General features: G+C 48.5%; 1 protein-coding gene and 2 non-coding genes across 6 annotated transcripts, besides 6 other annotated features; all 3 read left to right on the plus strand.

Moving 5' to 3' along the window:
• Positions 803-1,162: an enhancer, noted in NCBI's record as "active region_5267". NCBI's record gives its function as "activates an Ori minimal core promoter by ATAC-STARR-seq in GM12878 lymphoblastoid cells {active_cell/tissue: GM12878}" and the evidence as "EXISTENCE:reporter gene assay evidence [ECO:0000049][PMID:35858748]".
• RPS3 (ribosomal protein S3) lies at positions 826-23,610 on the plus strand. 4 transcript variants are annotated; one of them, NM_001256802.2, is made up of 7 exons: positions 826-885; positions 2,002-2,132; positions 2,948-3,041; positions 3,660-3,754; positions 5,328-5,515; positions 5,980-6,176; positions 23,035-23,610. In NM_001256802.2, the coding sequence occupies exons 1-6, from the start codon at positions 856-858 to the stop codon at positions 6,171-6,173; spliced, it is 732 nt and encodes a 243-aa protein (NP_001243731.1). In that variant the 5' UTR covers positions 826-855; the 3' UTR covers positions 6,174-6,176; positions 23,035-23,610. The 4 variants fall into 4 exon arrangements, with proteins under 4 accessions (NP_001243731.1, NP_001247435.1, NP_000996.2 ...); NM_001260506.2 differs by lacking the exon at positions 23,035-23,610 and adding an exon at positions 6,891-8,215 and having other exon boundaries at positions 3,612-3,754; NM_001005.5 differs by lacking the exon at positions 23,035-23,610 and adding an exon at positions 6,922-8,215.
• Positions 1,389-2,252: an enhancer, noted in NCBI's record as "NANOG-H3K27ac-H3K4me1 hESC enhancer chr11:75111125-75111988 (GRCh37/hg19 assembly coordinates)". NCBI's record gives its function as "activates a minimal SCP1, AML or CMV promoter by ChIP-STARR-seq in primed H9 embryonic stem cells {active_cell/tissue: H9 hESC(primed)}" and the evidence as "EXISTENCE:reporter gene assay evidence [ECO:0000049][PMID:30033119]".
• Positions 1,699-1,846, plus strand: SNORD15A (small nucleolar RNA, C/D box 15A). The gene has a single exon (NR_000005.1). It is a non-coding gene; the product is annotated as a small nucleolar RNA, C/D box 15A (small nucleolar RNA).
• Positions 5,729-5,874, plus strand: SNORD15B (small nucleolar RNA, C/D box 15B). Its single transcript, NR_000025.1, has one exon. It is a non-coding gene; the product is annotated as a small nucleolar RNA, C/D box 15B (small nucleolar RNA).
• Positions 7,613-7,907: a silencer, noted in NCBI's record as "tiled region #4651; K562 Repressive DNase matched - State 5:Enh". NCBI's record gives its function as "represses a minimal TATA promoter and a strong SV40 promoter by Sharpr-MPRA in HepG2 and K562 cells {active_cell/tissue: HepG2 | K562}" and the evidence as "EXISTENCE:reporter gene assay evidence [ECO:0000049][PMID:27701403]".
• Positions 7,613-7,927: a biological region, named in NCBI's record as "Sharpr-MPRA regulatory regions 4651 and 6526".
• Positions 7,633-7,927: a silencer, noted in NCBI's record as "tiled region #6526; HepG2 Repressive non-DNase unmatched - State 14:Gen5', and K562 Repressive DNase unmatched - State 5:Enh". NCBI's record gives its function as "represses a minimal TATA promoter and a strong SV40 promoter by Sharpr-MPRA in K562 cells {active_cell/tissue: K562}" and the evidence as "EXISTENCE:reporter gene assay evidence [ECO:0000049][PMID:27701403]".
• Positions 8,799-9,298: an enhancer, noted in NCBI's record as "H3K4me1 hESC enhancer chr11:75118535-75119034 (GRCh37/hg19 assembly coordinates)". NCBI's record gives its function as "activates a minimal SCP1, AML or CMV promoter by ChIP-STARR-seq in naive H9 embryonic stem cells {active_cell/tissue: H9 hESC(naive)}" and the evidence as "EXISTENCE:reporter gene assay evidence [ECO:0000049][PMID:30033119]".
• Positions 23,611-23,659: the final 49 nt, after the last annotated feature.

Here is a 23,659-nt window from a genome sequence, read left to right on the forward strand (position 1 = left end):
GCCCATGGGACCTTCTGGGACTTCTGTTACAAATTGTAATGGACTTGATGAAAGTAAGGTGGGGTAAATGAGAACAACATAAAGGACACAGAACGCAGTCCCTAGGACACTTAGTAAGTATCAGGTTTTATTATTATCATTTGGAATGGAGGAAATGGGTACAGACTGGGGGACATGAGTTGTTTTGTTTGTTTGTTTGTTTGTTTGTTTGAGACAGAGTCTCACTCTGTGGTCCAGGCTAGAGTGCAGTGGTAGGATCTTGGCCCACTGCAACCTCCATCTCCCAGGTCCAAGCAATCCTCCCACCTCAGCCTCCCGAGTAGCTGGGATTACAGGTGCCCGACACCACTCCCAGCTAATTTTTCTATTTTTAGTAGAGACGGGGTTTCACCATGTTCGCCAGGCTAATCTCGAACTCCTGACCTCAAGTAATCCGCCCGCCTTGGCCTCCCAAAGAGGAGTCTTAAATGAGTTTCACTGAGGGATTTCAGCAGATTTTCATTACAGTGTCCACCCTGAAAGTGTAGGGGCCAGAGTTCCACGCTGGTTAATCTCTCTTGCTGTGTGAACTTATACCTGTAATTTCCACCTCTGCACCTCACATTGCTTGTTTTGAAACTATGAGAATTGAACTCTAAGGTCCCCTGAAGTTTAGAAGTCCTGCTGGATGAAGCCCCTTTCCTGTTCCTGCCTACATTCTTCTTTCCCTGGACGCCTTACTTACGTAAAAACTACATTTCCCATGAGCACCCACAGGCGTGCACGCAGCGCAGCCCTCCGTCGTCGCTCGCGCCCTTTATACTCACTTCCGCCCGCGAGCCACTTCCTTTCCTTTCAGCGGAGCGCGGCGGCAAGATGGCAGTGCAAATATCCAAGAAGAGGAAGGTGAGCCTCTGGGGACTGGGTTCGGAGAACGACGGCGCCGCGCGGGTCGAGGGCTTCTCGGGGTGCCACCGCGAGGCCTGCAGCTCCGTGGCCTGCCCTGGAAGCGGCCTAGGCTTCCTGGCGTTCCTGCGGGCCGCGGATGGCGGTGGATTGAGTGAGAGGCCCCAGCCAGGAGGGCGCTGTGTGGCCGGGTTCCAAGTGAAGCGCAGAGAGATGGGCACCAGGCGCCCCTTCTGTCCCGGAGAAGGCGTTTGTGAGCATTTGTCGGTCAACGGAATTAGTAAACGTGGTATTTTGAGGGCGTGTGTCATTTCCCTCATGTCTTATCCCGTGGTTTTGGGAAGAGAAGGCAGCAGTGTATTCTTGCCTTAACTGGTCGTTTCTGGGTACAGTCCGCTGGCCCCAGGACCTCAACTTGAAGGGTTGCTGACGGTTGCTTGCTCCGTCTGGGGACCCCGGGAGGAAGCTGCCTCGGATTTAACGCCTTGTCATTACATGGGATAGAACTGTGTAAAAATCATTAGCTTTAAAAATAGACAGTTTGTCATTTCGTATATACACTTCGATGTCAAAATTAAATCCACAACTTCTCGAGAGTTAGGATTTGCCAGCTCTGTTGGTACCGTAAAGCCAAATAACATGGCTGGGATTCTTTAGACGGTGCAGGTTGTGTCTACAAGTGAGAGAGCTTATATGTTAAGTCTACTATCTATTCCTTAACAGTGACAAGTACAGTGTCTTTGCTGTGCTGAATGAAGTGTAAATAGGCCATTAGAGCAGTTTCTTGTTTTGCATGTGGAACTGTTTTAAACCCTTCGATGAAGAGATGATGACGAGTCTGACTTGGGGATGTTCTCTTTGCCCAGGTGGCCTACTCTGTGCTGCGTTCTGTGGCACAGTTTAAAGAGCCCTGGTTGAAGTAATTTCCTAAAGATGACTTAGAGGCATTTGTCTGAGAAGGGTTGCTGCACTCCTGTTGGAACAAGGGTTTGGAACCATTGGTTGGAGGTATTTAGTTTTGGTGAGGGATGCATTGACTAATAAGACTAGACTGGCTCAGGCGAAAGTGAGCCTACACCGATCTCCTAATTTTGAACTTTGCTTTGTTTGGATTAGTTTGTCGCTGATGGCATCTTCAAAGCTGAACTGAATGAGTTTCTTACTCGGGAGCTGGCTGAAGATGGCTACTCTGGAGTTGAGGTGCGAGTTACACCAACCAGGACAGAAATCATTATCTTAGCCACCAGGTAAAACTCATTTGACTGGCCATCACCTATAATTGTTATAAATGCTAAGTTGGTTTATTTATTTATTTATTTTTTTGAGACGGAGTCTTGCTCTGTCCCCAAAGCTGGAGTGCAGTGGCGCGATCTCGGCTCACTGCAAGCTCCGCCTCCCGGGTTCACGCCATTCTCCTGCGTCAGCCTCCCGAGTAGCTGGGACTATAGGCGCCCGCCACCATACCTTGCTAATTTTTTGTGTTTTTAGTAGAGTTGGGGTTTCACCGTGTTAGCCAGGACGGTCTGGATCTCCTGACCTCGTGATCCGCCTGCCTCAGCCTCCCAAAGTGCTGGGATTACAGGCGTGAGCCACCGCGCCCGGCAGGTTTATCCTTTATGAACTTAAGGGGACAGACGGAACAGTGAATCTGGGCTTAGTGAATGTAATTGCTTCTTAAAAGCTAGATTTTAAGGCCAGGCGTAGGATCACTTAAGCTCAGGAATTCAAGATCAGCCGGGGCAACATGGGGAAACCCCCGCTCTACAAAAAATAAAAAAGGGTGTGGTGGTGCATGCATGTGGTCCCACCTATTCCAGAGGCTGAAGCAGGCGATGGCTTGAGCTCAAGAGGTTCAGGCTGCAGTGAGCCATTGGTGTGATCCAGCCTGGGTGACAGAGTGAGACCCTGTCTCAAAAAAAAAAGCTGCGTTTTAAAAATTTTAGTTTTTGTCAATGAAAATTATATGCTTTGTGGCAGAGATTTTGCTACCACACATATATGCAAGATTTAAAGTTACATCTAGCATTTGTGAGAATCTTGAATTGTCACTTTTCCCCCCCAGAACACAGAATGTTCTTGGTGAGAAGGGCCGGCGGATTCGGGAACTGACTGCTGTAGTTCAGAAGAGGTTTGGCTTTCCAGAGGGCAGTGTAGAGGTGAGTGATTCTGGCATATGCCAGAGGTAATGGCTCTTCAGAATGATACTTCTAAAAACTCTCAACTTGGAGACTTTAATTGTTTGTTCATTACAAATGGACTGGTATAACTGTTGAAATTCTCTTAATGAATAATGGGCTTAACTTTGTAAGCCTATTCTGCTAATGGCTGATGGTTAAAGGATTTTACATTCAACTTGGGTATAGAAATGATGCATATGATGGATTAACTGTCCCCATTGGTGTACTTGGCATGGCCAAAGGAGCCAGGGTGGGAGGGCAAGGAACCTGCATTGTGTGTAGGTGGTAGAAGTGCTTTAGGAATTGAGGGATACTGAAATTATATGCTGTATATGATGGTGGTGTCCGATCTTTTGGCCTCCGTAGGCTACGTTGGAAGAAGAAATGTCTTGGGCCACACTACTACTGGTAGCGCAAAAAATCACGATGTTGAATTTGTGTTGGGCCACAATCAAAGCCATCTCCTGGGCAGCATGCGGCCCGTGGGTTGGGCAAGCTTGGTGTAGAAAGTGATACTTGTGTGGCAAATGCCAAATTTTCAACTTTCAGTTGAAAATAATGGTGATGGTAACAGGATATCCCTTGCTTCCTTTAAAGCTTTATGCTGAAAAGGTGGCCACTAGAGGTCTGTGTGCCATTGCCCAGGCAGAGTCTCTGCGTTACAAACTCCTAGGAGGGCTTGCTGTGCGGAGGTAAGTGTCCTGAGACCTAATGGTCATGACCTTTTGTGTGTATCAACATACATGTCTGCCATTTGTTAATTTAGCAGATGAACTGTTACAAAGTTACAGGATCTGCTAGTCTCCCAGGGTTATAATAAGATACTAAGTCATGCCCTCACTGAACTGGCAGGCTAACAAGACTACTAAAGCAGCAAGAACTGTAAAGGGTGGTCAGTCCTGTAATGGAGAAGTGTTCTGGGTGCTTTGGGAGTTAAACACAAATAGAACTGTCCAAGGAGGGGACCAACTCCTGTTGGTCTTCTTGAGAAGGCTTTACAAAGAGCCCTGTTGCGGGGGGCGGGGCAGTGGGCAATGAGGAATAATTAGGCCTGTTACTGGGTGTGTTACGTATCCCTAGGTAGAAGTGCCTTAGTACTAGTTAGGATACCATGAAACTTTAGTAGCAATCATTCAAATCTGCTTAGTGTGTTCACTCTTAAGATGGTATTGTGAAGAGATAAGATAGACCTGATGCAAAATAGCTTAAAATCTAGACACTTAACCTCTGAGTTGCATGCAGATAGTAGTAATGTGAGGGTCTACTGGTAAGATTTCAACAGGAAGTTCTTTGTGCAGTTTGACTGTATGTAAAGGCACTGAAATGCCTTGCCTAGAGGAATGACAGGAAAGCTGTGCTGTAGGAAGGTTGACTGGTAGGGATGGGTAGTGTAGGCAAGGCTCTAGGTAAGGACATAGAAAAGACGGCTTACCTGGTTTGAGTGCCAGCTAGGCTGCTTAGAACAATGGTTCTCAAGATTAATGCCAGCCCCAGACCCACCAAATGGGAAACTGGATGTGTGACTCAGCAATCTGTCTTAATAACCCCTCCACATGCTGTTTGCACACATTGAAGCAAGTTAATGAACCTCTCAGCCTGGGATCTGTTATCTTCTAAGGTGGACCATTATACCACCTCTCAGTTGTGGAATATTAAGTAAGATAATGTGAAAGGGCCTGGAGGTGGCTAGCTCTCCAGTTAGTATCTCGCAGAGCGTAAACTGCCGAATGAGTTGGGGGGTAGGTCATATTTTAAAGTGTTTTATCAGCGTTCTAATAGCAAGATAGCCAGGATCCTAGGTGGGTAAGCTTTCCTAGTGAATGAGACTTCGGAGGTTGCAGAGTATTTCAAGGGACCACAAAGTGGGTAATTGTGGAGTGTAAATGTGGTTCTCAGTTTTGGTTATACATGAGAATCACCCAGGGAGCATTTTTAAATAGATATTCCTGGACTTTGCACATTTAATTGGCCTAGAGTAGGGCCTAGATGTCAGGGTTTCTTTTGTTTTTTATTTTAGCCTTCTGAGGTGATTCCAGTATGCAGCCAGGGTTGGAAAGTACATATTTAGGAGCTTGACATACTTGATGAATATTACCCTAAGGTTCGGAATGATAGGTGTGGAAGAGAATTGGTATTCTTGGGGCCGGACTCTGGTCAAATTATTCTCCATTAAAGGAACATTGAAAACCAAGTCTTTGTTTTGTTTTTTAAACTTGGTGGAGGTCCTTGGCAATAACACAGTGGCTCTCTTCTGTTCTTTTAAAGGGCCTGCTATGGTGTGCTGCGGTTCATCATGGAGAGTGGGGCCAAAGGCTGCGAGGTTGTGGTGTCTGGGAAACTCCGAGGACAGAGGGCTAAATCCATGAAGTTTGTGGATGGCCTGATGATCCACAGCGGAGACCCTGTTAACTACTACGTTGACACTGCTGTGCGCCACGTGTTGCTCAGACAGGGTGAGCAGCTGAGAGTGCTTGGCAAAGGGCATTTGTGGACAGATTTGGTTTTCCACAGACATCTTAAGTATTTGGGGGAGTTTATCATGGAAGTAGCTGGGCATGTTCATATTCCTTGGTGTATCGATTGCCACGTTGATCTGTAAGAATCGATTTGCTGAGATCTGTCAGATCCAAGAGTTGGTTTGTCCTTGTTTTAGCCATCTGTGTACCCTTCAGTGATGACACGATGACGAGTCAGAAAGGTCACGTCCTGCTCTTGGTCCTTGTCAGTGCCATGTTCTGTGGTGCTGTGCACGAGTTCCTTTGGCAGAAGTGTCCTATTTATTGATCGATTTAGAGGCATTTGTCTGAGAAGGGTCCAGACCCAGGGGTGCTTGAGTAAACTGCTTGCTCTCTTTGGTCTTGTGTGATGGGGGCCTTTGAGACCCCAGCTGTGTGCTAACAACTGTGGTGTCCTCTAGGTGTGCTGGGCATCAAGGTGAAGATCATGCTGCCCTGGGACCCAACTGGTAAGATTGGCCCTAAGAAGCCCCTGCCTGACCACGTGAGCATTGTGGAACCCAAAGATGAGATACTGCCCACCACCCCCATCTCAGAACAGAAGGGTGGGAAGCCAGAGCCGCCTGCCATGCCCCAGCCAGTCCCCACAGCATAACAGGTATGTCTGCAAGGGCAGGGGCCTCTTGGGGCATAATAGGGTCCTTCCGAGTCTTTCTGTTAATACTTGTATCCCACATTCTGGTAAGCGTTTGGTGAATAAAAATTTCATTTATTTGCTTTATGTGGGAGAATACAAGTTGAAACCTGGGGTCTATTTAACCCTTGGTTCCAATGGGACAGGTGTTGCCTTTATTCTTTCCAGAAAGAAGTTCCTGCTTTTACTCGTGTATATGAAATAGTTTTCCCTTATCCTCCCTTATTTGCTCAAAATTTTTGGCTCAGTGCAACCTCTGCCTCCCATGTTCAAGCAATTCTCCTGTCTCAGCCTCCCGAGTAGCTGGGATTATAGGCACCTGCCACCAAGCCCAGCTAATTTTTGTGTTTTTAGTAGAGACGGGGTTTCACCTTGTTGGCCAGGCTGGTCTCAGACTCCTGACCTCAGGTGAGCCACTGTGCTTGGCTGCTCAAGATTTTCTAGGCACTTTTGCTATTCTGTCCTTTAGCAGCCCCTGTAAAACACTAACAAGCCTCCTGTGGTCAACACTTGGGGTTTTTTTGTTTATAGGTGTTGTCTCTCCAGGTGCCTTGTATTTTTTTTTTTTATATGAAAAAGGACAAACCCTTATGTATGCATTTTATTAATGTTGCTGCAAACCCTAAGTGGGAGTGTGTATCCATTTGGTAAATCAGGAACTTAATAACTCTGGTAAAGTTTCTTACTTTTGTGCTTTATTTGGTTTCAGGGTCTCCTTGGCAGCTGTATTCTGGAGTCTGGATGTTGCTCTCTAAAGACCTTTAATAAAATTTTGTACAAAGACACAAGGTCTGACTAGACTGTTCAGTATTCAGACTGAGGGGCATGTTGGCCTCTGGAGCATTACATATCTTCTTGGTTTTAACCATACTTGTGGTATTTGCAAGGGCCAGAACAGTAAGACCCAAGCAGAGCCAACCAGAGAAATAATATTTGTGTGATAGAGAAGGCTGATAGCAAGCAAGGCAGCACCTTGATTCGTTGTCCTGTAGTTCAGGATTGTAGGTTTAGAAGAGGGATATGTTTGAGTTTTTCCTATGCATAAGGCGATCCACGTTGCACATAGAAAGTGAATATAAATGGCCATTATATTTTGTGTCATGCTGTGCTCTAAGTGTTCTTTACATATGTACTCGTTAATCAACCTCTCTAAAGTGTAAAGGAAATTTGCTTGCACCACTGAAGGCACATAAGGCTCAGAAGTAAATTTGCCTAAGCAGTATAAAGCTATCATTAGAATCCACATTCCTAAGTTGTGTTCTCTTAGGGGATCATGGAACCAGTCATTGGTACTACAGGCTATTATGTTCTGGAGAACTGTGAAGAACATTTAAATTGTCTCTGATTTTATCTATCAATGTTTTGAAGTATTTTCTACCAGTGTCTGTACTTCACAAGAAATTCGGCACTATTTTTTCAGGCAAAACTAGTGAGGGACAGGTTGGCTTGAAAATCATGAGACTGTTGTTAAATCAGATGCTGGTTGATCACAGAGGGGACTTCCAGGGAAAGCTGTTATCAGGTGGCTGCTTCCTGGTGATGCAGCCTGGCTGATGAGATAACCCTGGCTCCACAGATGGCTTAGCAGGTGCTGTGATGATTTGGTTTTCTTCTCAATTAGACTGAGCTGCACATGGTGTTTATATTGCTTGGCACATGGTAAGGGCTTAATATTTGAGGTAATTATGTAGGGCGTACACTGACAAGTATCTGACCCCCCCTTCCTTTTTGACTCATAAATTGGTCATCTTAACCATTTAAGTGTACACTTCTATAGTGACAGAGTTAGCCCTCTGTCCAAGGGATTTGCATCTGTGGATTCAACCAACTTTGGGTCAAAAATAATCAAAAAGGATGGTTGTGTGTGTATTGAACATGTAGACTTATTTTTCTTATTTTCAAAATACTATATTTTCTTGTCACTTATTTTCTTGTACACTGCAGTTGTAACAGCTATGTAGCATGTACATTAGGTATTAAAAGTAATCCAGTGAAGATTGAAAGTCTAAGGATGTGCCTAGGTTATCTTAGGTATAAATACTCTACCATTTTGTATAAGGAGTTTAAGCATCTGGGGATTTTGGTATTTGAAGGGGGTCATGGAACCAATCATTGGTACTGCAGGAAGACTGCTCTATATTCTCATTGTGCATCAATCTCCAGAACTTCATCTTGCAGATGTGCTGCCCCTCCCTCACCTTTTTGAAAGAGCCTTTGATGATTATATGGATTCCTGTCTTTTTTATTTTTTGAGGTGGAGTTTTGCTCTTGTGTGCCAGGCTGGAATGCAGTGGTGCTATATCGGCTTACTGCAACCTCCGCCTCCTGGGTTCAAGCCATTCTCCAGCCTCAGCCTCCCGCTAGCTGGGATTACAGGCACCCGCCACCATGCCCAGCTAATTTTTGTATTTTTAGTAGAGACCGGGTTTCCCCATGTTGGCCAGGCTGGTCTCAAACTCTTGACTTCAAGTGATCCCCCCACCTCGGCCTTCCAGAGTGCTGGAATTACAGGCGTGAGCCACCGCACCCAGCCAGTTGAACTTACTTGAACATCCGCAAATTATTTTTTATTATTTTTATTTTTTGAGACGGAGTCTCGCTCTGTCACCCAGGCTGGAGTGCAGTGGCGCGATCTCTGCTCACTGCAAGCCCCGCCTCCCTGGTTCACACCATCCTACCTCAGCCTCCCGAGTAGCTGGGACTACAGGCGCCCGCCACCAAGTCTGGCTATTTTTTTTTGTATTTTTAGTAGAGACGGGGTTTCACCGTGTTAGCCAGGATGGTCTCGATCTGACCTCGTGATCCGCCTGCCTCGGCCCCTCAAAGTGCTGGGATTACAGGCGTGAGCCACCGTGCCTGGCCAAACATCTGCAGATTAAGTGCTGGGAATAGGTTAAGACTGTACTGTGCCGTATATTAGATTAGGTGATCTTTTAAATTCCTCATGAGTTTTCTCCAGTCCACTTGGAAGTTCAGCCGGTGGGAGAAGTTAGTGCTGTTAATTCCCACTAGGTGTTGCTGTAACAAAGGAAATGTGCAACAAGAGTAATAGCTTAAGGAGAAAGAAAGAAACTTAATGAATTGTGACAGAAAAGTATGCAGATTATTAGCGTAATAGATTACTGAATTATTGGAAGAAAGTGCTGTTAATTACCACTAGGTGGTGCTGTGACAAAGGCAATGTGCAGTAAGAGTAACAGCTTAGGGAGGAAGAAATAAACTTAATTGTGACAGAAAAATGAAGATTATTAGTGTATAGATTATTGAATTATCAAAGTGAACACCCCTGTGTAACCATTTAAAAATGCCAAAATATGTCCAGCTGTGGTGGCTCACACCTGGAATCCCAGCACTTCGGGAGGCCAAGGCAGGTGGATCACTTGAGCCCAGAAGTTCCAGGCCAGCCTGGACAACATGGTGAAACCCTGTCTCTACGAAGAGATTTTAAAAATTTGCCAGATATGGAGGCTGAGGTGGGAGGATGGCTTGATCCTGGGAGGTGGAGATTGCAGTGAGCCATAATTGTGCCACCACTCTCCAGCCCAACCTGGGTGACAGACCCTGTCTCAAAAAAATAAAAAAAAAACCCAGATTTGCCCCCTCCCTTGTATCTAAGAAGATATGGGAGGCCAGGTGCAGTGGCTCATGTCTGTAATCTTTAGGAGGCTCAAGTGGGAGGTTTTTTTTCTTTTTGAGACAGTCTTGCTCTGTCGCCCAGGCTGGAGTGCAGTAGCACAATCTCAGCTCGCTGCAACCTCAGCCTCCTGAGTAGCTGCGATTACAGAAGGCCGCCACCACTCCTGGCCAATTTTTGTATTTTTAGTAGAGACAGGGTTTCACTATGTTGGCCAGGCTGGTCTCGAACTCCTGACCTCAAGTGATCCACCTCCCAAAGTGCTGGGATTACAGGCGTGAGCCACTGTACCCAGCCTACTCTTCTACATCTTTTACAGAAAACTATGTAAGACAAATGTAGAGCTCAGGTGAGCACTTGGTAACCAGAGTTTGAGAAGTATAAATTATGCTGGGACTCCCTCTATATGCCACTCTAAACACAGCTCCACCCTCCATAAGTTACCTTGATTTTCTTTTTTGAGACAGGGTCTGGCTCTATTGCCCAGGCTGGAATGCAGTGGTAGTGGCACAATTTCACTGCAAACTCCACCTTCTGAGCTCAAGCCATCCTCCCACTTCAACCTCCCGGGTAGCTGGGACTACAGGCACGTGCCACCATCTCTGACTAATTTTTATTTTTATTTTATTTATTATTATTATTATTTATTTATTTATTTATTTTTTTATTGATCATTCTTGGGTGTTTCTCGCAGAGGGGGATTTGGCAGGGTCATAGGACAATAGTGGAGGGAAGGTCAGCAGATAAACAAGTGAACAAAGGTCTCTGGTTTTCCTAGGCAGAGGACCCTGCGGCCTTCCGCAGTGTTTGTGTCCCTGGGTACTTGAGATTAGGGAGTGGTGATGCCTCTTAACGAGCATGCTGCCTTCAAGCATCTGTTTAACAAAGCACATCTTGCACCGCCCTTAATCCATTTAACCCTGAGTGGACACAGCACATGTTTCAGAGAGCACAGGGTTGGGGATAAGGTCACAGATCAACAGGATCCCAAGGCAGAAGAATTTTTCTTAGTACAGAACAAAATGAAAAGTCTCCCATGTCTACTTCTATCCACACAGACCCGGCAACCATCCGATTTCTCAATTTTTTCCCCACCCTTCCCGCCTTTCTATTCCACAAAACCGCCATTGTCATCATGGCCCATCCCCAATGAGCCGCTGGGCACACCTCCCAGACGGGGTCGTGGCCGGGCAGAGGGGCTCCTCACTTCCCAGTAGGGGCGGCCGGGCAGAAGTGCCCCTCACCTCCCGGATGGGGCGGCTGGCTGGGCGGGGGGCTGACCCCCCCACCTCCCTCCCGGACGGGGCGGCTGGCCGGGCAGAGGGGTCCTCACTTCCCAGTAGGGGCGGCCGGGCAGAGGCGCCCCTCACCTCCCGGACGGGGCGGCCGGCCGGGCGGGGGGCTGACCCCCCCACCTCCCTCCCGGACGGGGCGGCTGGCCGGGCAGAGGGGCTCCTCACTTCCCAGTAGGGGCGGCCGGGCAGAGGCGCCCCTCACCTCCCGGACGGGGCGGCTGGCCAGGCGGGGGGCTGACCCCCCCCTCCCCCCTCCCGGACTGGGCGGCTGGCCGGGCGGGGGGCTGACCCCACACCTCCCTCCCGGACGGGGCGGCTGGCCGGGCGGGGGGCTGACCCCCCCACCTCCCTCCTGGACGGGGCGACTGGCCGGGCGGAGACGCTCCTCACTTCCCAGACGGGGTGGCTGCTGGACGGAGGGGCTCCTCACTTCTCAGACGGGGCGGTTGCCAGGCAGAGGGTTTCCTCACTTCTCAGACGGGGCGGCCGGGCAGAGGCGCTCCTCACATCCCAGACAGGGCGGCGGGGCAGAGGTGCTCCCCACATCTCAGACGATGGGCGGCCGGGCAGAGACGCTGCTCACTTCCTAGATGGGATGGCGGCGGGGAAGAGGCGCTCCTCGCTTCCTAGATGGGATGGCGGCTGGGCAGAGACGCTCCTCACTTTCCAGACTGGGCAGCCAGGCAGAGGGGCTCCTCATATCCCAGACGATGGGCGGCCAGGCAGAGACGCTCCTCACTTCCCAGACGGGGTGGCGGCCGGGCAGAGGCTGCAATCTCGGCACTTTGGGAGGCCAAGGCAGGCGGCTGGGAGGTGGTTGTAGCGAGCCGAGATCACGCCACTGCACTCCAGCCTGGGCACCATTGAGCACTGAGTGAACGAGACTCCGTCTGCAATCCCGGCACCTCGGGAGGCCGAGGCTGGCGGATCACTCGCGGTTAGGAGCTGGAGACCAGCCCGGCCAACACAGCAAAACCCCGTCTCCACCAAAAAAAAACGAAAACCATTCAGGCGTGGCGGCGCGCGCCTGCAATCGCAGGCACTCTATTTTTTATTATTTTTTGAGACAGTCTCGCTCTGTCACCCAGGCTGGAGTGCAGTGGCGAGATCTTGGCTCACTGCAAGCTCCGCCTCCCAGGTTCACGCCATTATCCTGCCTCAGCCTCCTAAGTAGCTGGGACTACAGGTGCCTGCCACCACGCCTGGCTAGTTTTTTGTATTTTTCGTAGAGATGGGGTTTCACCATGTTAGCCAGGATGGTCTCGATCTCTTGACCTCGTGATCTGCCCACCTCAGCCTCCCAAAGTGCTGGGATTACAGGCATGAGCCACCGTGCCCGGCCTAATTTTTATATTTTTAGTAGAGATGGGGTTTCACCATGTTGCCCAGTCTGGTCTTGAACTCTTGACCTGAAATGATCCTCCTTCCTCGGCCTCCCAAAGTGCTGGGAATACAGATGTGAGCCACTGTGCTTGGCATTTACCTTGATTTTCAAAGTAATTGCCTCCCTAGACAGTATAATGAAAAGTACTAGCAAGTATTTGTATTTTATTTTATTTTATTTATTTATTTTTGAGACGGAGTCTCGCTCTGTCGCCCAGGCTGGAGTGCAGTGGCGCAATCTCGGCTCACTGCAAGCTCCACCTCCTGGCTTCACGACATTCTCCTGCCTCAGCCTCCCGAGTAGCTGGGACTACAGGTGCCCGCTACCATGCCTGGCTAATTTTTTTGTATTTTTAGTAGAGACGGGGTTTCACCATGTTAGCTAGGATGGTCTCGATCTCCTGACCTCATGATCCACCCACCTCGGCCTCCCAAAGTGCTGGGATTACAGGTGTGAGCCACTGCACCCAGCCCTTAATATGTCTTAAGTGGGGAGGGAGAGTTGAAAATGCTTGTTGCTTGACCAAATGGCATTACTCTTCCAGCCAGGGCTGTGCCACAGGAGTGCTGTTCAGTAGAGGAATTAAGTGGTTCCCTGAATTTAGCTGCTGTTAGGGAAGGTGGGAAGACCTCTAAGGTAATTCTTAAAGGCCTTGTGGCTCTTGGTGAAGCAGTCTGACATTGTCAGTGTCCTTTAGGGACAACCATTCAGCCTTATGTGTGGTGCTGGACACAGCCAGAGATCTTAGCTTGTAATCTGTGCAAGTAGATGGAATCCTGCTTCAGTAGTGGTCATGGCCCCACCCTCAGGACTGCAAAAGACTTCCAGTTAAATACCCAGGTAAAGCCCATCTACAGCACCCTTGAAGGAAAGGCCAAACAAGGACTCATCTTCCCCTCTTTGTGCTTTTGTACCTGGCTGTTTACACTGCTTGCACCCTTGTGACTGACTCCAGTAGAACTTAGTTGAAACTTGCCTTTGTGAAGCCTTCCCTGATCTGGCTCTTGCTGTTGTGGACTGATTTATGTCCCCCCAAATTCTTATGTTGAAGCCCTAACCTCCAGCACGACTGTATTTGGAGCCTTTAAGGAGGTATTGTGGCACTGGCTTGGCTCTTGTCATGGACTCTATTGCCTTTCCTGGCTGGACCTCTCTGCAGCTCCATCTTTCCTACTTCCACAGTGGGGGCTTGATGAATGAGGAGAGACTTGCTTACTTGTAGCTCTCCTGAATGTTCTTCAAGCCAAGGCTATCATTACCTCTCTCTGTTCCTTTCCATTTCAAAATAGGGTTTGGGAGAAGGGGGCAAGAAGAGGCATTGAATATGCAGATGGGGGTACATACTGCCCTCAGGGACTCCTGCCTCCACCCCACCAGTGATCCCAAAGTAACTGGATGTTCTCTGCAGGAGAGTAGGAGGTTCAGGCCAAAGGAGCCAAGGCTGAGGGCCAGGGGTCACAGGAAAGTTCGAGAGTCATTTTCTTTCTGTCAGGGCTTCAGATATAAAATCTGATTGCCAGTGAAATAAAGATGATACTAATCTATGTGTTTTTATTTTTATTTTATTTATTTTTTCTGACACAGAGTCTCGCTCTATCGCCCAGGCTGGAGTGCAGTGGCGTGATCTCAGCTCACTGCAACCTGTGCCTCCCAGGCAAGTGATTCTTGTGCCTCAGCCTCAAGAGGTGGGACTGCAGGCAAACGCCACCATACCCAGTTAGTTTTTGTAATTTTTCATAGAGATGGGGTTTCACCATTTTGGCCAGGCTGGTCTTGAACTCCTGGCCTCAAGTGATCTGCCCACCTTGGCCTCCCAAAGTGCTGGGGTTACAGGCATGAGCCACCATGCCTGTCCTGTTTTTATTTCAACCTGTGAAAATTAACATGTGTTCCAAATAATATTTTAAAACATGTTAGTCTATTCATAAACATGGTAAAATCAGCCCCTCTCCCACTGCTGAGCTCACCCTTTGCAGAGGCGCTCTCCACTGTGTTTCTTGTATATATGTGTGTGTGTGTATATATATATATATTTTTTTTTTTGAGACAGTCTCACTCTGTAGCCCAGGCTGGAGTGCGGTGGTGCGATCTCGACTCACTGCGATCTCAGCTCACTGCAAGCTCTGCCTCCTGGCTTCACGCCATTCTCCTGCCTCAGCCTTCCGAGTAGCTGGGACTACAGGCATCCACCACCACGCCCAGCTAATTTTTTGTATTTTTAGTAGAGACAGGGTTTCACCGTGTTAGCCAGGATGGTCTCTATCTCCTGACCTTGTGATCCGCCCTCCTTGGCTTCCCAAAGTGCTGGGATTACAGGCATGAGCCACCGCGCCCAGCCCTTCTTGTATATTCTTAAAGAGATACAGTCCATGTATACACCACTGAATGTGTGTATTTTTATCTTTTCCCAGATGCTATTACCTTAAGTATGACAATACTGGCAGCTTAATGCACAGTTTGTTCAGAAGCCATTTTAGAAAGAGCAGGCCTGCCCTCTCAGGGTAACCTCACCACAACAGGATTTTAGGGAAGACTCCCACATTGGAGGCAAGAACCCTCTGAGCTGGATGCCATCCACAGCAAATTAGGTATTGTATCTGCAAGCAAAAGAAGAAACTGGCTAACATAAGCAGCATAGAACTTTATTGGAAGGATCTCAGGTAACTCAGAATCTATGAGAAGCCTGGAAAACTCAGCTCTGAAATGAGATCTAGGGAGGCTGGCATCAGGGAACGCAGCCAAGGTCATGGCTGAAAAGCAGTCTGGTCTAGGATGTCATCACCAGACTCCCTCAGTGAACGATTTTTCAGCTGTCCCTTTTTCTTTGTGTCACTCTGAGGTTTAAAGTTGTGGGTGTGGGCATCTGATTGGCCAAGCCTGGTGTCTGACCCAGCTGCTGAAAAAGATAGCTTTGGCTTCTACAGTGGAAATGAGGCCCAGCCCAGTGCCATACTCAATGCCCCTCCCCACCAACTAGGCAAGGTGTTGATGCTGGGTGGCCAAAACCATGTTGTGAAATTGTCCTTGGAACCCACTGGTAGAAATATGGCTATTGGCAACATGGAGACAAGGGCTGAAGCCTTTCATGGACTTCTCATCAAAGGTTACTGTCGGCCGGGTGCCGTGGCTCACGCCTGTAATCCCAGCACTTTGGGAGGCCGAGGCAGGCGGATCACGAGGTCAGGAGATTGAGACCTTCCTGGCTAACACGGTGAAACCCTGTCTCTACTAAAAATACAAAAAATTAGCCAGGCGTGGTGGTGGACGCCTGTAGTCCCAGCTACTAGGGAGGCTGAGGCAGGAGAATGGCATGAAGCCAGGAGGCGGAGCTTGCAGTGAGCTGAGATCGCGCCACTGCACTCCAGCCTGGGCGACAGAGCGAGACTCTCAAAAAAAAAAAAAATTAAAATAAATAAAAAAGGTTATTCTCAGGCTCTGAAGAGTTAGGTTCTAGTCATTAGGTTTCCTGGCAGCTGCTGACAGACTGGGAGCTGGGAGCTGCTTAACTGATCAGCTTGCCCATCAGGCAAGGAGAGAACACCTGCTAGTAATGTGAGCTCTTGGGGATAGACCCAGAGGGTGAGCCAGTCAGGGATGAAAACACCACCATTAGCGGAGAGAACCAGGAGAAGCACAATGTGTGCTGAGAGGACAGTGGATAAAGGGTTTTTTGGGGGATCCACTCCCAGACAGAAGCTGGGCTGGCAAGGCTGCTGAAGCCCACAGCGTAATGTGATAATCTGGAGTCTGCTACCTGCATCTGTGACCTCACACCACCAAGGGGAGGTCCAAGAAATTTCAGCCACAGACCCCACCCAGTCCACCACCTCCAGTCAGCCATGCTCCTCACTCTTACCTGGGAAATTAAGCAAAGGCTATGAGTATCTCAGTGCTGCTGTGGTGGTGAGGCGAGTGGGAACACCTTCCTCTGCAGTGCTTTACTAAGGGGACTTGAGATGCGGGGAGAAGCTGAGCATTGCAGTCAGACCTGGGATCAAATTCTGGCACCAGCACTGATTGAGTGGGTGACCTTGGACCTTTCTGATCCTCAGTTATCTCACAGGGCTGTTGTGGGAGTTAAAGGAGATGTAACTACTAATACGCATTTCTGTGTTTCTTCTCTAGTGTTTATCATCTATTCCCTCTGTTTGGAGACATTATAACAGTTAAGAGCCCAGCTCTGGCGGGGTGTGGTGGCTCACACCAGCATTTTGGGAGGCCTAGGCTGGTGGATCAGTAGAGGCCAGAAGTTCGACAACAGCCTGGCCAACATGGTGAAACCCTGTCTCTACTAAAAATACAAAATTTAGCCGGGCATGGTGGTTCATGCCTATAATCCCAGCATGTTGGGAGGCCAAGGTGGGTGGATCACGAGGTCAGGAGTTCAAGACCAGCCTGGCCAAGATGGTGAAACCCCATCTCTACTAAAAATACAAAAATTAGCTGGGCTTGGTGGTGGGTGCCTGTAATTCCAGCTACTTGGGAGGCTGAGGCGGGAAAATCTCTTGAACCTGGGAGGCAGAGGTTGCGGTGAGCCGATATCGTGCCACTGCACTCCAGCCTGGGCGGCAAAGCGAGACTCCATCTCAAAAAAAAAAAAAAAAAAAGCCAGGTGTGGTGTGGTGGCACATGCCTGTAATCCCAGCTACTCAGGAGGCTGAGGCATGAGAATTGCTTGAACCCAGAAGGCGGAGGTTGCAGTGAGCCGCGATCGTGCCACTGCACTCCAGCCTGGGTGAGAGAGCGAGATACTCTGTCAAAAAAAAAAAAAAAAAAAAGACATCAACACTCATTGTAGAAAACTTGGACAATAAAGGATAACATGGCTAAGAGAAAAATTAAAGAAAACCCCAGCTATTCAAGCCCGACAGTTTGGATTCAGCACCAGGTATACAACTTAGCAGTATGAGCGCAAGCACATCAGTTACCTCCCTGTTCCTCCCTTTGGTCATCTGCATGTAGAGTGCTTAGCACAATGCCTGACCTATCACAGCAAGTGCCCAATTAGTGCTAGCTGTTACTATTACCACTACTTAAGCATATCCTCTTGGATTTTAATACCTAAATTCATGATATTGGATTCTCCCCATCCCAACTGTACGTGCACTGACTACAGGTGCCATGCTTTCTGTTTCTGTTCAAAAGGTGGGCATAGCTGGGCAGATAATCAATATTCCCATTTTACAATGGTGAATTTGGCCTTTTACTGTGCCTTGTTCCATTTTCCATCTTGATTATTTCTATTTTTTTTTTTTTTTTTTGAGACAAAGTCTCACTGTCACTTAGGCTGGAGTACAGTGGCATGATCTCAGCTCACTGCAACCTCCGCCTCCTGGGTTCAAGTGATTCTCATGCCTCAGCCTCCTGAGTAGCTGGGATTACAGGCATGCACTAGCACACCTGGCTAATTTTTAATTTTTAGTAGAGACGGGGTTTCACCATGTTGGCCAGGCTGGTCTTGAACTCCCAACGTGTGGTGATCCGCCCACCTCAGCCTCCCAAAGTGCTGGGATTACAGGCATCCATCTAGTGATTATTTCTGAGATCTGATGTTGCTATGTATAAATGCAGCTGTTGTATTTCAAAGTAGGGCCTGCCAGCATCAGAGCTGGAAAACATTGAAGTATCATAGAGAGTGAATATTTTCAACCTCAGAGATTGTTTTTCTTACTGTTCTCCTCAGGGACATTAGATTTTGATATTATTTTATCAACCAAACCATTCTCTTTTTTTCCTTATAACACCCAGACTGGTATGACTCTCTGTTATTAGCCAAAGCTACATTTATAGCGTAAGCATGACCATGGTGAGAAGATAATTGTTATATGCCCTGAGCTTGCTGTAAACATTTAATCTTCCTGACATCCCTTATAATGGACAGATTTCATTACTAACCTCATTTTACAAGTTTAATCCATACAGTACATCTTAGGCAGAACTGGTGATTTTTCTTAGGCTTTAAGAAATATTGGCAGGGTATGGTGGCTCACATCTGTTATCCCAGCACTTTGGGAGGCCGAAATGGGAGAATCATTTGAGCTTAGGGGTTCAAGATCAACCTGGGCAACATAGCCAGACTCCATCTCTTAAAAAATTTAGGCCAGGAGTGGTGGCTCATGCCTGTAATCCAAGCACTTTGGGAGGCCGAGCCAGGGGAATCAAAGGTCAGGAGTCGAGACCATCCTGGCTAACACGGTAAAACCCCGTCTCTACTAAAAATACAAAAAAAATTAGCCAGGCGTGGTGGCGGGCACCTGTAGTCCCAGCTACTCGGGAGGCTGAGGCAGGAGAATGGCGTGAACCCGGGAGGCGGAGGTTACAGTGAGCCGAGATCGCGCCACTGCATTCCAGCCTGGGTGACAGAGTGAGACTCCGTCACACACACACAAAAATTTAAAGATTAGTCGGGCGTGGCGGCACATGCCTGTAGTCTCAGCTACTGGGAGGCTGAGGTGGGAGGATCACTTGAGCCTGGCAGGTAAGAAACATTGGCTGGTCTCCTGGCCCCTCCTGGGCCCTCCTGACCCCTTCCCAGAGTCACAGCCCCAGGCCCTTGCTTTCTGAGGTGCTGCTTGTCCCAGGGGACTGAACTGCTGGTGGTGTGCCCCAGGTGCAGGATATTGCCACTGGAAAGTACACCTGTAAGGGGATGCTGGGGTCTTGGGAAGGAAGGTGACTGTTAACCTATGGAGATCAGCTTACTACTGTGTGAGCATTGGCCAAAATGACCAGGCTGCCCAGCCTCGGCCCGGATCAAGATCTAGAGGCCAGGAAGGAAGTGGGCCTGCCTCTCGGTCAGATAAGAGGTGCAGATACGGGCTCCACCCCTCCAGGACCACCAGCAACCAGGGTGTTTGCAGCCTCACAGCCTGGTTTTCCACAAGTCTGCCCCATCCCTAAGGCCACACAGCTGAAGCTTTGGCTCTGCTTTCATTCCAGGGATGGGCAGGCTGGCATTGGGCCACCTGCTGCCCCTGGCCCCAGATTCTCTGGGTGGGGGGCCATGTGATCCATCTGGCTGGGGCAATGCCAGGACCACCCCACCCATTTCAGTGTCCTAATTCTTACTTTGTTCTGCCATTGTGGCAGTCTGGTGGTAAATATAACCTTTTGACAGTTTTTGAACTGCCTGGAACCCAAGATCCTAAACATTTTTTAACCGTATTTGGGTTATCTTTTATTTTGGTTTTTATCCCCAATGGAGAAAAATCAAGATGGAAAAAAGTTATTTTAAAATACACGATGGGTGGCAGCAGTGGTGGTAGGGAAAAAAAAGGTAAAAAAATTTTTTAAAAAATAAAGTACAGGATGAAGTGAATTGAAAGATTTGTTTAATGCACTCTTCTTCAAGGATAGTATTCCTGTGTTCATAAAATTTGAGAATAAATTGGTCTCGAATTAAAAAAAAATTTTAGAATGTCAAGATCCTAACTTCCAATTTGAGAACACGTAACGTGAGTCTCTGGATTGGGAATGACTTATGTGATCCCAAACCCTCATTTTCACAAAGAAGGTGGAGCCCTAGTAGCTCTGAAATTCAAATGAAGCCATGCCTCTGCTGCCTGGTCCAGTGCTGTGCTAACCCCTCAGCCTGCCCAGGTACAGCTGGGTCTTTGTCCACCGAGCAGGGAGTTCCACTGTGATATATGCATCCCACCCTCACTGGCAGGCCATTGACTACACCTGCAACCAGCCTATTCTCACAGCCCTTTTTGTGGTGAGCAGGAGAGCTGGACTCTGAGCCCCCCAGTTGCCTAGAGAGAGGGTAGAGCTGGCCTTTAATTAAGGACTTTTTTGCTTTTTAGAGCGAGCTTCCGGGGAAGCATAGCACAGCAATAGGGCCACTTTCCTGCCAGAGGGGGTGGGTGCCAAAGGATGTGGGTCTTTTGCTCACTGGTTTACCCTCAGCATACCAGGAAAAATAGTCATCCTGATTCACTGTTTGGTCCAAGTTTTTATCACACAGTATTGTGTGATGAAATCCTTTCTGTAGAATGATTTAACTGGATGAAAATAACCATGTTTCTTTTTTGTCTTTAGAAATATGTTACTCTGGCTGGGCTTGGTGGCTCATGCCTGTAATCCCAGCACTTTGGGAGGCTGAGGCGGGTGGATCACCTGAGGTCAGGAGTTTGAGACTAGCCTGACCAACATGGTGAAACCCTGTCTCTACTAAAAATACAAAAATTAGCTGGGCATGGTGGCACACACCTGTAATCCCAGCTACGAGGGAGGCCGAGGCAGAAGAATCTCTTGAACCCAAGAGGCGGAGGTTGCAGTGAGCTGAAATTGTGCCACTGCACTCCAGCCTGGGCAACAGAGTGAGACTCCTTCTCAAACAAAAAAAAAAAGAAAGAAAAAAAGAAAATCTAATATATCCATATGGTAATGAATGTTTCATTTTATTTTGTTTTTATTTTTATTTTTTATTTTTGAGATGGAGTCTCCCTCTCTAGCCCAGGTTGGAGTATAGTGACACAACCTAGGCTCACTGCAACTTCCACCTCCCAGGTTCAAGCAATTCTCCTGCCTCAGCCTCCCCGGTAGCTGGGACTACAGGCATACGCCACCATGCCCGGCTAATTTCTGTATTTTCAGTAGAGATGAGGTTTTGCCTTGTTAGCCAGGCTGGTCTTGAACTGCTAATCTCAGGTGAACCACCCACCTCGGCCTCCCTAAGTACTGGGTTTACAGTCATTTTTTTAAAAAATAAATCTTGTTCTTTGGAAGACCATTAAGAATAGTCATAAAATATCCTTACAAATAGAACTGCTCAAAAAAGAAACTCAAAAACTAAATTTGAGTTCAGTGGCTTCTGAGGGTATACCACGAGTGAAGTCTCTTATGTTCTCAACAAGGGAGCGAACGGCAAAGCCGCACACCTGAGGGCTCAGTGCTCTCAGGATTCATGGCCTGGCTTCCTGCTAAGTGGTAGCAGGTCCCTCTCTTTCATTTGGACTGAGTGTCCAAAGTGCAGTGGATTAGGAGCCAGGGAGATCCTCCATTTTTGGTGTTTTGGTTTAACCAATAGTCCTAGGAGCTTAGCACACCTGGGGTGTCACCTTTTGCTTGTGTTTGTGAACCTCTCTTATCAGGGACAAGAACCATGTGTCCATCTAGCTGCAGGCCTCTAGGGTGGGGACAGTATCCCATCAGACAGGGATTCCCCATGGTGCAAATGATGGTCTCTCCTCCTTCGACACATCTGTGCTGCACTCAAGCCATTTGTCAGGTTAGCAGAGCCTGGGGGAGGCAGTGTGGAGAGAGCTGGCTTCGGAGATAGCTGGGCCCAGGTCTGAATCCTGGCTCTGCTGCCACTTCCCAGCCCAATGACTTTAGTCACTTCACCTCACAAGGCTGAGTCTCTGTTTCCTCATTTGTGAGGGGGCAGGCGGGCGGCAATAGTGCCTGCCTTACACTATTACAAGATTTAGTGTAGTCAGTGGGAAGCCTTGTTCCAGGCGCTGGAGGACACAGGTGAAACTGACACCTTTCCTGCCTCAAGGGGAATCCTATGGGTGTGTCAGGGGAGACTAGAGAAGTCACATAAAAGAAAGACCTGGCCATGTGCCCGGTGATAGAGGAGGGCAGCGGATAAGGAAGGGGCACAAGGAGAAGAGGCAACTCGGGTTGAGGTTATAAGGTGGGCCTGGGCAGACAAAGGAGAGGGCACGTGCACGAAAGCGCACTGGAGGCACGAACAGTCAGCATGGGGTAAATGGGGCGCCCTGCCTGGCATGTGGGAAGGGTCCAGCCAACTAAGATGCCCACTTGTTTGGGAGGAGCGTGCCCTGGATCTGCCCCTGCCTTTTCCCTGGGTAGGCCAGTGATATGATGCCTTCTTTGCTTTGTCCTGAGCGTTCCCCATAGGGTGGGCGCAGGCAGGCTAACTGTCCCCACTCCCCTCCTCCACTGCCATTATCAGCTGTGTCCAGATGGTCACAGGCTCCCTAATCTGGGATAATCGGCGGGTCGGAGCTCAGCTGGGACCCGGGCCTTTACTCCTGCCATGATGGGCCGGCCCCAGCTGGAGAGACCCTGTAGACAGGGCCCTGGGGCTTTGGAAGATGGGGTGGGATGTGGGGCTGGCTCTGTGCTGAAGGGAGATGCAAGGAGCAGATGATCGCTCTTCTTCCAAAGGCAATCTGAGTACAAATGAGGGGGAGCCTGCAGCTGGGGCCTGGCCAGCTCCTCCAGGCCTCACAGCGATATGCACAGAGCCTCGCAGAATCTGTCTATGGTGTCTTTTGTTCCCTTTCTCTCCCTCTCTGAGCTCACCCCTCCCTACCCAGCAGTTTGTTGCTGCCCCTAGAGCCCCAGGCTTATAATGACATCAGGGGCTTGTGCCCCCATTGACGTTGGACACCTGACAGATTCAGGTGCAGAGCCAGGGTGACTGGCTTCTCAGAGGCCCATGGCTACGGTGCCCCCACCCTGGGCCTGCAGTTTGCTGTGAGCCTCCACTCCGTAGTTGTTCAGGGATCCATAACTGTTTTTGTTTTGTTTCAGCCTCTTCCATGAGTGGGGAGCCCGCTGCTTGTCTCCAGCTCCTAGCAGTGAGTCCTGATAATCTCAAATTTAAGGACAGTAACTTTGTCTGGGATGAGTGTGGGAAAGGATGTGTTTGGGAACAGACGCGAGCCTGCAGAGGTGTTTGTAACCATCTCTTTCTAAGTGGTGGGAAGCAGACATTTTATTCTTTAACTGTTAATATATATAGTGTGTGTTTTTTATGCATGAAATATTTTATAGTTTTTAAAAATGCCCACACTACTATTTTGAAAGTAAATGAGGTAATGTATGTGTCAGAACCCAATACCCAAAGCGATCGTAGTAAGAGGTGGGGCCTTTGGGAAGGCATTAAATTGCTTAGGGAATGAGGGTGGAACCCTCATGAATGAGATTAGAGCCTTATAGGAGAGGTTGGAGGGAGTTGCCTGGCCTCCCTCTCCCATGTGAAGACTCAGCAAGAAAACATTATTTAGGAAGCAGAGAGCCCTCATCAAACACCAGATCTGCTGGCCACCTGATCTGGCACTTTCCAGCCTTCAGAACTGTGAGAAATAAATTTCTGTTGTCTATAAATCACCCAGTCTAAGGTGTTTTGTGATAGTAGCCCAGACAGACTGCAATG

This window comes from Homo sapiens, chromosome 11, assembly GCF_000001405.40.
Source record: "Homo sapiens chromosome 11, GRCh38.p14 Primary Assembly".
NCBI lineage: Eukaryota > Metazoa > Chordata > Mammalia > Primates > Hominidae > Homo > Homo sapiens.

Bases quoted from the DNA above. Each gene is read 5' to 3' on its own strand.
- RPS3 (NM_001260506.2), top strand. From the start codon at position 856: ATGGCAGTGCAAATATCCAAGAAGAGGAAG. The intron at 2,133-2,947 runs GTAAAACTCATT...TTTCCCCCCCAG, and splicing joins ATCATTATCTTAGCCACCAG to AACACAGAATGTTCTTGGTG. The intron at 3,042-3,611 runs GTGAGTGATTCT...TTCAACTTTCAG, and splicing joins TTCCAGAGGGCAGTGTAGAG to TTGAAAATAATGGTGATGGT.